The sequence below is a fragment of the Homo sapiens genome, chromosome 15 (assembly GCF_000001405.40).
Source record: "Homo sapiens chromosome 15, GRCh38.p14 Primary Assembly".
NCBI lineage: Eukaryota > Metazoa > Chordata > Mammalia > Primates > Hominidae > Homo > Homo sapiens.
The window spans coordinates 94451707-94464524 of NC_000015.10; the positions used below are offsets into that span (position 1 = coordinate 94451707).

Sequence of the window (12818 nt, forward strand, 5' to 3'; positions counted from 1 at the left end):
TTCCCTGGTTCAATCTGAAATGTGTAAATAAAGCCAGCATGATACAGATGGAACTGCAGACGATCTTTCATACAACTCAGGGCAACATGAGTAGACTTGTCCTGGAAGATCATTTTCTTTGAAACTTAAATTAACCCCAGTATTCTTTAAACTAGACAAAAGGTTGTTCCTTCTTTTGTAGCTTTGCCTTCTTGAAGGGAAGGAACTGGTGTTTATGAAGCACCTGGAATATGCTAGGTACTTTACATATGTGATAATATTTAATTTTCTCCACACTCCAATCAGAGTAATGACAATGATCTACATTTTCCAAATATTAAACTTGAAATTCAGAAAGGGTAAAGAACTTGCCATGATCACCAAGCTAGTAGATGTCAGGACCAGAGTTGAACCCCATTCTCTGACTCCATGGTCTGCTGTATATAACATCATTTAACTTCCCTGGACTTCAGTTTCCTATACATGGAAATACTAATACTAAAGGCTATGTAATACTTCCTGTGATATGTCCATTGGTATATTGCTAGATATAAAGAGAAAAGACCCATAAAATCAATAGCATCTTGTTTTAAAAGAGAAATTTTGCAGTACAGAGAGTGAAAAGAGCATTTGCTATTAGGATGATTAAAATGATAGAGGTACAATGCAAATTGAGAGAACAAAGACCGTAGTCAGCATAGACTGGAATCCTTAGGAAGAGGATTCACAAAAGCCATCAAGCTTGAGTTGGGCCTTCCAGTCATTCTTCTATAAGGCCTGGAATCTTCTCTCAAACCACAAGCATTTGCTTATTTCTTGGGTTGATGTAAATAATTACTTAATACTACTATAAACCTGATAAACTATTTTTTTCCTGGATCCATTTATTTCTCCATCAAACAAGTACTGTAGCAACACTGAGGATGGACCCACCACAGTTGTTGGTGCTGAGAACACAGGATCAGATAAAACAGCCGGGTCTTATCTGTTGATCCCCCAGTTCAAGCAGGGTATAGCCAAAAAGAGGGTAATGGAAGATATTAATGAAGCATCCAAGCTACAAAAATATAATCTTCTTGTAGCATAGAAGCTACCATACTTTGATAAACACATATTATCCAAAGGCCATTTTTAAAGCCTTTCAGAGAGCAAAAACTACATTTACTGCTAATCATAAAGATACCTGAGCTCAGATGGAAATTTTCCCTGTCTCACATGAGTAGCAAATGCATTTTAAGGAAGGGGTGGAAACACGTGAAAAAACTTTGTTTGTTTTGTTTTGTTTTTTTCTCCCTGTCTAGAAGATACTCTGGAAATAACTGATTCTTTTCTTTACTGAAGAATTTTAGGAAAAAGTGATTCAGGTTCACCACAGGTCCCAGTTTTCCCAGAAAGTTTTCATTTACTAATTATCCTCATTTTTAAACTATTGTATTTAATATTTCCACTATAACAAGGTGGGATGTGTTGCTTAGACTTTCAATTTAAGCTTTCAGCTGTTTCTGTGGTCATTACTGGTAGCCCATGAGATGCATGCACTGTGACCAGAGTTCTCAAAGACTAACACCAGGTTAACTCTAACAACCAGGAATGACCCATCTCTATTTTCCTGACTCTCTTCAGGGCCTGAGTGACTAACATCCAGCTTTAAAGGAAAGCTTCTGCATGGTCCATAATAAAACAAACTGCTCTCAGATGAGCTAATCCCTTCTTGCTTCAGGCAGTGGTAGAAAGCATGTGATGTCTACCGGCCCATTAAGCTGTGGCCACTGCCAGGGCCTGTAAGATTCAGGAAGCTTTCAAACTGCCTATTCAGAATGGTTAGTAAGGGAGATGAGAAATGATAGGGTAGGTGTATGTTAAATATTTGCATAATTTAAGCCTTCCTGCTAACAGAATAAAAAGTAGTCTGAACACTCTTAGAATATACTATTTTACTCATTGTAGTGAGTAAATGTGCACTTATCTTTTTTACTTTTTCAGTATATAAATAAAAACACAAAGATTACATATTTAATGAATAATCATGTACAGATAGTACATTTCTTAAGACAGTTGTTGATAAATGTTTACATTTCTTGTCTACCCTGGGGCCTTGACTTGATCATGTCACTGACATTTGTAAATCTAAGTCATAAACCTGCCAAAGAAGCCTCAACAGCTACTTTAAGAGGAAGTATCCAAGAAAATCATTTCTGAAAACATTATTTTAATGCATACAGCTAAAAATGCATGTTGATATATCTCTCTGTGGAGCATGACTTTTCATTTAGATCAAATGGCTATTTCTTCCACATTAATTTATATCATTTTCCACTTCAAGATTTCATCGTACATATATGAAAAATGACCAAGTAGCTGTTAATCTTCCTGCCAAAGGATGCAAACACAATATCAGAGAACTTTGTGAAATTATTTTCATTTTTTTACCTAATATATGAAAACAAAGCTTTTGCAAGTTAACTCTACAAATACTGTAATTTCTAACATCAGCAATGCCACTATAAATTTAAACATTTAGTATTGAGAATCATTTAACTTTATAATGATAATATGAATGCAAATTTTGATGGAGCAAATATTACAACTAATAAGATATTCCTCCAAAATGAAGAAATATGAGGCAGAAATGTACTTGGTGTTGGCTGTGATGCACTAATTATTCATAATTGCATCCAGACAAGCAATAATGTTCCACCACTTGCAAAGTTGTAGTGTCCACACTTACAATATTTTTATATACACAGTTGGGATATCAACAAGGTTGTGTGATAAAGATCCATCACATATAAAAATAAACATCAGCATGGCAGTATGCACTTTCTCTTCTTTACCCGTCATCATTTTAGGAAGGTTTGAACCTTCGAAGATATCTCAGTTAACTTAAACATTCTCCAAAATTGGACTCTTTTGTGGAAAAAAAAAAAACCCTAAATTATGGTCATAATCAGTTGGAAAGTTTTATTCAAAATGTTTTATGACTGAAGTACTAACTTCATTTTTGGAAGCTTTTTCTGAATGGAAGTGAATTTTTTTTTTAATGGCCAAAAAACACTTTATTTTTCTACGAAAGCAACATATAAAAGGTCAAATGTTATGTATGATTCAGTTTTTAAATTCTGAAGTTATACTTTAGGTTATTTTTATTATTATTAGGTGGAGTCTCGCTCTGTGGCCCAGACTGGAGTACAGTGCCGTGATCTTGCCTCACCGCAACCTCTGCCTCCCAGGTTCAAGCGATTCTCCTGCCTCAGCCTCCCTAGTAGCTGGGATTACAGGCATGTGCCACCACAACAGGCTAATGTTTTGTATTTTTAGTAGAGACGGGGTTTTACCATGTTGGCAAGGCTGGTCTCAAACTCCCGACCTCAAGTGATCTGCCCGCCATGGCCTCCCAGAGTACTGGGATTGCAGGCGTGAGCCACCACTCCCTGCCTAGATTATTTTAATTTATGGGAAGAATCCTTGTGATTTTTAATACAATAAATATACATTCTGACCATTAATGGAAAGAAATTTAGAAGGCATTTACTTTTCAGCATATATTTTGTTAAATGTTCTAACATATTGTCTTAAAATGTTTGACAGGAAAAGTTCCTGTGAATGAATATAAAAATACAGTGCCTTTGAAAATATTTGGGATGAAGTATATACAGATTTCAAAATTTTAAAAATAGATTGAGAATATTGTCCATGTACCACATTTTTGTTGTGAGTTTTCAAGGTACCTAAGTGCTCATAGACAGTGTTCTTTCTGTTGTTTTTTTTTTTTAGACGGAGTCTCGCTCTGTCGCCAGGCTCGAGTGCAGTGGCGCCATCTGGGCTCACTGCAACCTCTGACTCCCTGGTTCAAGTGATTATCCTGCCTCAGCTTGGACTGCAAGCACGCGCCACCATGCCCAGCTAATTTTTGTATTTTTTAGTAGAGACTGGGCTTCACCATGTTGGTCAGAATGGTCTCCATCTCCTGACCTCGTTATCTGCCCGCCTTGGCCTCTCAAAGTGCTGGGCTTACAGGCGTGAGCCACCATGCCCAGCTTCAGAAAGTATTATTAAAAGTATAGTCTACAGTGGAGTCAATTAAGGTGTCAATTTAATGACACCTCTGAAGGTGATTAATAACAATTTCGTGCAATATTAGAAATAAAAAGATGCCATTAAAAAGTACATTCTTTTGAAAAGTAATCCTGACATCGGTATATAGACAGTTGTAGCTAGTAACTGACTAAAATATATGAATATATATCACAAATAATCATTCTTCGTGTGTCATTTTTAAATATCCAGATGATCAAATTTATTTTAATGCACAAAAATCTATTTTTTATTTGAAAATAATGTATTTGTGAAATAAAAATGGAATAGTTTTATAGGTCCAATATAATAAAACCAAGTTATCAGTCATCAATAATCAAAAATTAATTGTTTACTTCTACTCTTAAAAGTATTAACAAGTCCAGATGATAAGTTATTCTGTTACTCAAGATATAGTAAGACTCTTTAGCCTAGTCTTTGGATATTTAATACTCCAAACATCAAATTCATTATAAAGTAACAGGACTCATGAGCATCGTTATTTTGGCATACTAACTCATGCTTTCTTCACAACCAGAACCTCACTATTTGGGTGTTTCACAGGGAAAAAAAATTAGACAGTTGAAATAGGAAGTTTTTATTAAATCGAATGACATGGAAACTTGAGTCATTTTCCAAGAAATTGTTTTGACCTAAACTGGATGCTGCCGAAAAGAGGAAGCCACTTTTGGCCTTTGGGTCAAATTCCCTCATGCTTTCAAATGTTCCTTTATAAACATGAATACTTATGTGGCAGACAGAGCTGGGTTTTCACCATTGTGCCCATTAATAGATGTCGGTGGACTCATGAATTAGTACGCTCTGGCAGCATATCTAATTTGTAGCACAAACTGAGGAATTAGAGTAAGGGAAAAAATTCAAATTAGGATAAAAAAGTAAAAGTATCTTGAAAGTTTGATATTGCAGAAGGAAGCAATGAACCTGGTTTTCCTTCTGCACAGAATGAATGGATAAAGGAGTACAGTCCTGATGGTAATAATTTATTCAAGCCATTGCAGCACCCTTTACTGGAGAAGGGCTGGCAATGAGGCATTCTAGCCTCTGTTCTTCCTTTGTCTGTTTCAGCCAAGTAGTTTCATAAAGGCAGATGCAAGAAGGGTGGTTTGTGTTTTTCAACATTTCTGACATCTTGGTGCTTTTACCCGCAATCCCTATTGGTAGTGGGTTCTCTTTCACTCCATCCATGACTCCAGTTTAATGGAACAAAGGATACAAGAGGAAAATGATTTTATTTTTTCCTTTTGCAGCACAGATGGTATTACAGGAATGTCCTCTTAAATTTAGAAGTGTTTGCTTGATAGTTTAGTACAATTTTCACCCAACTAAAATTCTATATAGGAAAAAAGTTCTGTAAGAACTATTTGAGGTTTTAGGTTTCATACAATAGGTGTAATGACCCAGAGAGGTAGAAGTTGAGAGCTCATTGACTACATCCCAATTACAGCAAAGTCAATAAGGGAGCTAGAACATAGCATCAGAATATTAAAAATAGTGTAAAAATACTACTCTTTAGGGAATCTCCTGACATTTGAGTGATTTCTAAGTAACCTGCATAACTGTTAGTTACCTGGCATGGTAAAAACACATGTAAGGTTTTCTATAAGCAAAGTAAGGATAATATTTTTAGAAAGCTGAATTCCATTTCACATGAAGCATTGGAAATTACGGAAGATGAATTTGTATTTGCTTCTAATGTCATGAGGAGATCGCAATCAATTGCTGATCATCCTGGAAGGGAATAATCTGGGTAGGCTGCCCTCCCAGCAGTGCACTGTGGGGTTACTTTGTAGCATGTCCACAGCTGCTTGCTTTGTTTCTGAGGTGGTTGCCAAAGGATGGATGAAATGTCATCGGGCTGGCAATATGTTTAGAACATGCTTAAAAATGCAGCGGAGTTTGACTAAGATGCTCCAGTACTAGGAATCATACTACCTCTGTCTCCAACATGCCAGGAACATCTCTGAAGAACACTGATAGGAGAGGAGTAGGGTGAGCTTCAGAAAACCTGTGGAGACAGAGGAAGTCAGAGTTAGCCAGACTGACGGGATTGCAGAATTCTGCGAGGGACGCGGCAGCCTCCACGGGGAAGTGAAGTGCTTGGTTCTGTGGGCTTCCCTTTATCACCTCATGGCAATGAGGTAGCAACTGAGGCTTGCGCGTTAGGAGTGGTAGCATCTAAGTGACTGAACAGATTTTTCTGGGGGGGGAGTCAATATTTAAGTTGTAAAACAATGATTTATCTCTTGTGTCACTCTATTGGTAAAAACCTTGTTATTATAACATGTTATAATATTTTCTGTATCAGCATGATAAAAAATGAAGTAACTGAGTTAAATCTTGCTTTTATGTTTTCTAGGAATCTGAGAAAAAGGGGTTGATTGAAAGAATCTATATGGTACAGGATATTGTTTCAACTGTTCAAAACGTCTTGGAGGAAATAGCTTCTTTTGGAGAAAGGATTAAGAAGTAAGTTCTAAATTTGTGTTGTGGTGTTTGCAGTAGACCTGCTATCCACAAGGACAGTGGGGTAATGGCAGTGGTGTGCGACAAAGGGAGGCAAGAAAATACAAAAACACACCAAAGCAACACTGTTGGGTTAGCACTGTCTGACTTCAGTTGGCTTCTTAACTTCACAGTTGGGTGGTGCCTCAGAACTGGGGTGACCATACGGCCCAGTTTATTCCAGTCACCCCAACATAAATATTACTAGTGTTCCCTTTCACTCAAAAATATATCAGTTTGGGTGACAAATGATAGATATTTAAAATGTTACCCTATTCAGAAATAAAAAGAGAAGCAAATGTGCTATACAGGAGCCTTTGCTATCTGAACCACAGAACTTAGTAAATGCCTTGAGTAACTTTTCTCTCCAATTCTCCAAAGAAAGATACACATCTAGTAGCACCATAGATGGATAAATGTGAAGTTAAGTCACCACATATATGGATGTCTTAGGACAGGATACTACTCTGTGGCCCTTTATAGAGAAAGTTGACAATATTTTCAGCTTTATGGGACATATGGTCTCTGTCCTGACTACTCAACTCTGTTGTTAAAGTGTAAAAGGAGTAACAGTTAATATGTAAATGAATGGGTATGGTATGCATTCCAATAAAACTTTATTTATATAAACAGGTAACATGCTGGATTTGATTTATAGTCTACCCACAGCTTGCCACCCCCATCTTAGGACATGATAGCTAAACTCTCTAATGGAACTCCAGTTAAGAAAGACTGTAGATTCATAGGTTTTTTTCTGTTTTGTTTTATACATTATCAACTCTGCATTACTTAGTTTTCATTTGGCACCAATAAGTGGAAGGTTTTTAATTTTTTTCCTTTGAATTATTAACTTATTTCCCCCTTTAATCTAGAATTGTGTCAACCGTGTTCTTTCTAAGGATTAATTCTTACTTTATTGGTCGTGTCTACGGGGATCATTCTAGTTTCTTTAAGAATATATTGTTTTGGAATTGCATGGGTAAACAGATTAAAAGTGGTGCTAAAAACCAAGGGAAAGCCTTATGCATTAAAATGCAAGGAAATCAATAAATGATATTAACATCAGGAAATATAAGTAGTTAACATGCAACTTTATGTAAATACTAATGTTTTCTCAGTTGCACAGCCAATGACATTGCCCTCGAATGCCCATTTATTATAAGCATAGTAAACGTGTATGTTTAAAAAAAGTAAGTTATAAATGACTTTTAAACAAAGTTGATGAATTTTTATTGAATTTACAGTTATACCCATTATTAATATCTTAAGAAAAAAATAATTTTTGCTCACAGATATGATGCCTATTTGCTTTATTCTTGTAGGTTTCATATAAATTGGCAAAAGATTCCTGAATTTACCCTCAAAATGTTTAATATAAACATATTTGAAAGCAAACATGAATAGTAAAATGAGGAGGGCATCATAATTCTTTATTCATTTCCTCACTCAACTATCAGTTATTGAGTTTCAGACACTGACTTGGTCTAAGTTGGTCTAAGAATGAGAAATGCAACCATAATTACAATAATGATAGCAACACCAACTGTTATCGCATGCCAGCCATGCACTCTTCTAAGCCCTTTAAACACACTAGCTCCTTTGAGGAGCTACTTAAAGGAATAGGATTACATCATTCAAACCACCCTATAAAGTAAGGATTGTTAATATCCTCATTTTACAGATGAGGAAACTGAATCACAGAGTGATTAAATTTGTAGTCCAAGATCACACAACTAGTAGCTATGTAGCTTGGATTGGAACCTGTCCTCCTCATTACTACACTATAATGTCATTACCCTCAAGAAATCTCTATTTCAATGAGGGAGAAACAGAGTAATAGCCAATTAGAATTCAGTAGCATTAGTGGTAGGGAGAGGTAAGAGAGAATTCTGGGAGAGATCTGATCAGCCCAGGAAGAGATGTAGGAGAAAGACAGACCGCAGGCAATTCTGAAACAGAAGAAACTTATCAGCATCTCTGAGAATAGGAAGAGATAGCTGGGCAAAGAATTGATGAATGAGGGCTTCAGTAGTGGAGAGCCCTTGTGCAAACGCTCAAAGCCCAAGACTATGTGGGAGATACAGGGAGATGTAAGGGATTGAGTTAGTGTGTCCGTGCCATGGAGGTGCGGTTGGCAGTGCCTAGAGATGAGGCATGTCATGCAGGCCTTGAGGAGATGGAAAAAGTCAGTGGAAGAAAGTTCAGTGAGGCACGTATTGACAGCAAGGAGGATAAGAGGACACAGAGTGGGGTCAAGACCCAGGAAGGAAGATCATGTTGTTTGGTAAAACTGTTTCCATTCTGGAACATCTCTAAAAGACAAAAGTGACTGTTGTGCCGTTGATAATGTAAAAGGAAATGTGTCTGAGGAGAGAAGAGGGCAGAGTGATTTAAACAGGCTCCCAACCCTGCAGTGCTTTGAGGGGCAGCTGTGCCCAGCACAGCTGTGGTGGCCATGTCTGAGATGTGTCTTCAGCCCATGAACAGAGTACTGTTCTGCCCAGCTGCAGCACAGGAAGGCTGCTAAGGCTCAACTCCTATTGATTCTTGGCCATTCATTATTACAATGACCTTAAAGTCCCTGCTGGGCATTCAAGTGGGATGTCGTGTGTAATTCTGTTGGAATTCCATTGTAACTCAGTGCTTAAGAACCAGGAAAACTTTTATTCAACTCTTGGCAACTGGCAAAAATACAGAAATACATAAAACTCTCAAAGTAAGGCTTCCCTGATACTGATGGGTTGGGGGGGACCCCAGTGGTGTTGCATTTATGTGGAATGAACTGTATTCCTTTTTTCCTACTCTTACCTTCTCTAGTTACCTTCCCTAATATTACACAAATTTTAAATGTATGTATATATGAAGCCAAAATATTTTACTCAACATGTAGCATTTGGCTGGGCACGGTGGCTCACATCTGTAATCCCAGCACTTTGGGAGGCTGAGGTGGGCGGATCACCTGAGGTCAGGAGTTCGAGACCAGCCTGGCCAACATGGTGAAACCCCGTCTCTACTAAAAATACAAAAATTAGCCGAGCATGGTGGCACATGCCTGTAATCCCAGCTACTCCAGAGGCTGAGGCAGGAGAATCGCTTGAACCTGGGAGGCGGAGGTTGCAGTGAGCCGAGATGGCACCACCACACTACAGCCTGGGCAACAGAGTGAGACTCCAGCTCAAAAAAGCAAACAAAAAACCAAAAACCATGCAGCATTTATGCTAGACAGCAGGCAGAGTGGTGCAGGAGAGTGAAGCATATCATGTGTTCTATCATTATGGAGTGAGGGCTCTAACTCTTGTGTCCTTGAGTGGCTAGGGAAATCTCCACAGAGGAGATACTGAGATTAAGGGAGACCTAGAATAGGCAAGTTATGCCTACAGATGTTCCAGGGTAAAGCTTAGAAGCCACCTTCATAAGAAGTAGAACTGCCCTGGCTAGAAATGATGTGAAAAAATACTAAGCAGAAGATGGGCAAGCAGGTTAAGTGGTTGGAATCCTGAGGTTAAGTGGGGCTGGAATCCAGGTTTGATTCCAGTTAAGTGGTTGGAATCCAGGTTAAATAGGGCTGGAATCCTGATGGGGACATGGGGAATGAGAGACAGATGCATTTTGTGTTTAAATCAAGAGTGACATGTCAAAAGGGACAAAGGAAGACAAAGGAGGGGGCCAGGTGTGAGGAAAGCAAACACAGGCTAGTGTAGAACCATGCATATGTGAAGGAAAGCCTTTAGTAGAAGACAGGACAAAATAAGAACCTACAGCAGAATATGACCAGTAGTTTTCATTTCCCTGGGAAGAAGAGTCAGAGGACCTCATTTGTCCAAGCCTTGGAAACAAGGAAATAATCCCATTGACACAAGGTCAGTGCAGTGGGGCAGCCAGTTGGGGGAGGACCCAGAGAATATACCTGCACCCACCTTCTGGGATGTGTCACAATCATTTTTGTTAAGTGGGCTGAAATTTAGAAAACGATGTTCTTCCATATTAGTGAGCTCATGTGGTTGAATGAATGAAGAGGATTCCTTGAGTTTTTTCATTAATGGCGAAGTTAGTCATTTGTCTCATAAGTGCCTAAGTCAGGGATTACCTTCTGAGGATTTAGGGAGCTCCCAAGTGAGGAAAACTGGAGAAATCTATGAAAATGTTGTTTTACAAAGTGTCTTGTTTTGAGATGGGAAAGCTTTGATTTACCAAGCTCCTTCAACTTCGGATTTTCTATAGAAGATGTTCTATGATAAATGGGGAAAGAGTCTAGTAAGGTTTTAAGTGTTAGGGGTATTGCTACTTAGTGTCTTTGAATTAAATCCTCAGCATTTTAAACAGGAATGTTCAGCTAGATTACATGAGTAACATGTGCTTATTTACATTTTTTAAAGCGCCTACTACAGAAGCAATGAAGACGGGATCGTAACCAATTTTCTGAGTTCAAATCCCAGTTTTGTCACTGGAAGTGAATGATCTTAGGCAACTTATTTAACTTTTAGGACTCAGGGTCCTCATCTGTAGGATGGGAATAACAATAATGATTTCTGCTTCATAAAATTTAAATGAATTAGTACATATAAAGAGTTTAGACCAATGGATGACAGGTATTAATCACCTAAAAATATTAACTATTATGAGTATTATTTTATGGCCACTGACTTGACTTTCTTCTTGTGTGTCTTAAATAAACCCAGGGAATGTCCCCTGCCTTCCTTCTAAACCATTTTAACACTAAAATTGTGGGTCGCTGAGGGGAAAATGCATTAGTCAACTGACCTGGCTCTTAGAAGGCAAATCTGACAGGCTATGTGGGAGAGTGAGTGTGTCGCCCAACTCCATTTCTAGAAAGCCCATGACACACCATACACTTGTGCACACACAACTGTTGGGATCTTTATTAGGACTGCATTAATTGGGAAAGAATTGATATCCAGATACATGCTTAAGTTTTCTAATATATGAGCTTGTTATATTCCAGTGTAATATCTCTTTAGATCGTCTTTAATTTATCTCATTATTATTTTAGAGTTTTCTGTATAGAAGTCTGACTTTTTTTGTGTGAAATATATTCCTGAGTACTTGATAGTGTGGTGCTAGTTTAAATGGCATCTTTTCTTCACGTTTCATTTTCTACCTGTTACTCACATATAGACATGAAATTAATTTTTCTGCTTTGATTTGTTTCTAATAACCAGGTAAACTTAGTTATCTTATTTTTATATGAAGATTATTATTCTGGATTTTTTTCCTTAGATAAATGTATAAGAATAATTTTTTCTTCATCTTTCCAGCCCTTACACATTTCATTTTCTTGACTTGCTGTACTGGCTATTAGCTGTCATACAGTGTGGTTTAGAATTGGTATTTTGAGGCATTCTTTTCTCATGGGATCTCAGAAAGAAAGCTTTCAACGTTTCACCCTCAAGAATGATGTTTGCTGTAGGTTATTGTAAATATGCTTTATCAGGTAAAGGAAGTTCCCTTTTTATTCCTAGTTTGCTATGAGTTTTTATTTTGAACATGAGCTGAGCTTTCCCTAACATTTTCACCTGCATTCATTGAAATGATGTTATTTTTATGCTTTATTTTGGTTTATGTGGCGAATTATTTTGATTGGTTTTCAAATGGTAAACCAATCTTACATTCTTGGAATAAACCCAACATTATTGTTCTACAGTCCCTTTATATCTGGCTGGATTTTATTTACTTGTTTTTGCTTAGGATTTTTGCAGTTATGATCATCAGTGAGATTGACTTATTTTGTGTTCTTGACATTTTCTTGTGGCTAGAAGTTTATTCTAAACTCATAATACAAGGTCAGGTAGGTTCTCTGTCTTTTTTCTGGAAAAGTTTATGGGAGTTTGATATCATTACTTCCTTTAAGATTTATAGAATTAGCTGCTGAAGCATCTAGGCCTGAAGTTTTCCTTTGGAGATGATTTTGCATGAAATATTATATGTTTATATATATAATATATATATATATATATTATATATATATATATATATATAAACGTCAGCCATTCTATTATTTCTCATCTCTGTTTCTGTAAATTGTAATTTTCAAAGAGTTTGTCCCTTTCATATAAATTTTCTACTTGTTGATTTAATGTTGTTTATAACATCCTCTTATTTAATGTCAGTAAGATCTGTTGCATTACCTACTCTTCTATGCTTGATATTGTTATCTTCTTTCTTCTTGACAGGGATTTATCAATTATATTAGTCTTTAGAAATAAGCACCATTTGCCTTCACT

General features: G+C 37.1%; 1 protein-coding gene across 22 annotated transcripts in view; it reads left to right on the forward strand.

Annotated features, from left to right (window-relative positions):
• The window catches only part of MCTP2 (multiple C2 and transmembrane domain containing 2), a 252587-nt gene that overhangs the window by 220341 nt on the left and 19428 nt on the right, over window positions 1–12818 (forward strand). For 21 of the 22 annotated variants that reach the window (NR_169532.1, NR_169530.1, NR_169529.1 and 18 more), the window contains one exon: window positions 6431–6540. Coding sequence is in view for 15 of the 22 variants with exons in the window: in XM_047432839.1 (XP_047288795.1) it covers window positions 6431–6540 (110 nt within the window). In the remaining 7 variants the exon portion in view is untranslated. Of the gene's footprint in view, window positions 1–3135; window positions 3258–6430; window positions 6541–12818 lie in introns of all 22 variants that reach the window. The other variant, NR_169531.1, reaches the window with a different exon arrangement.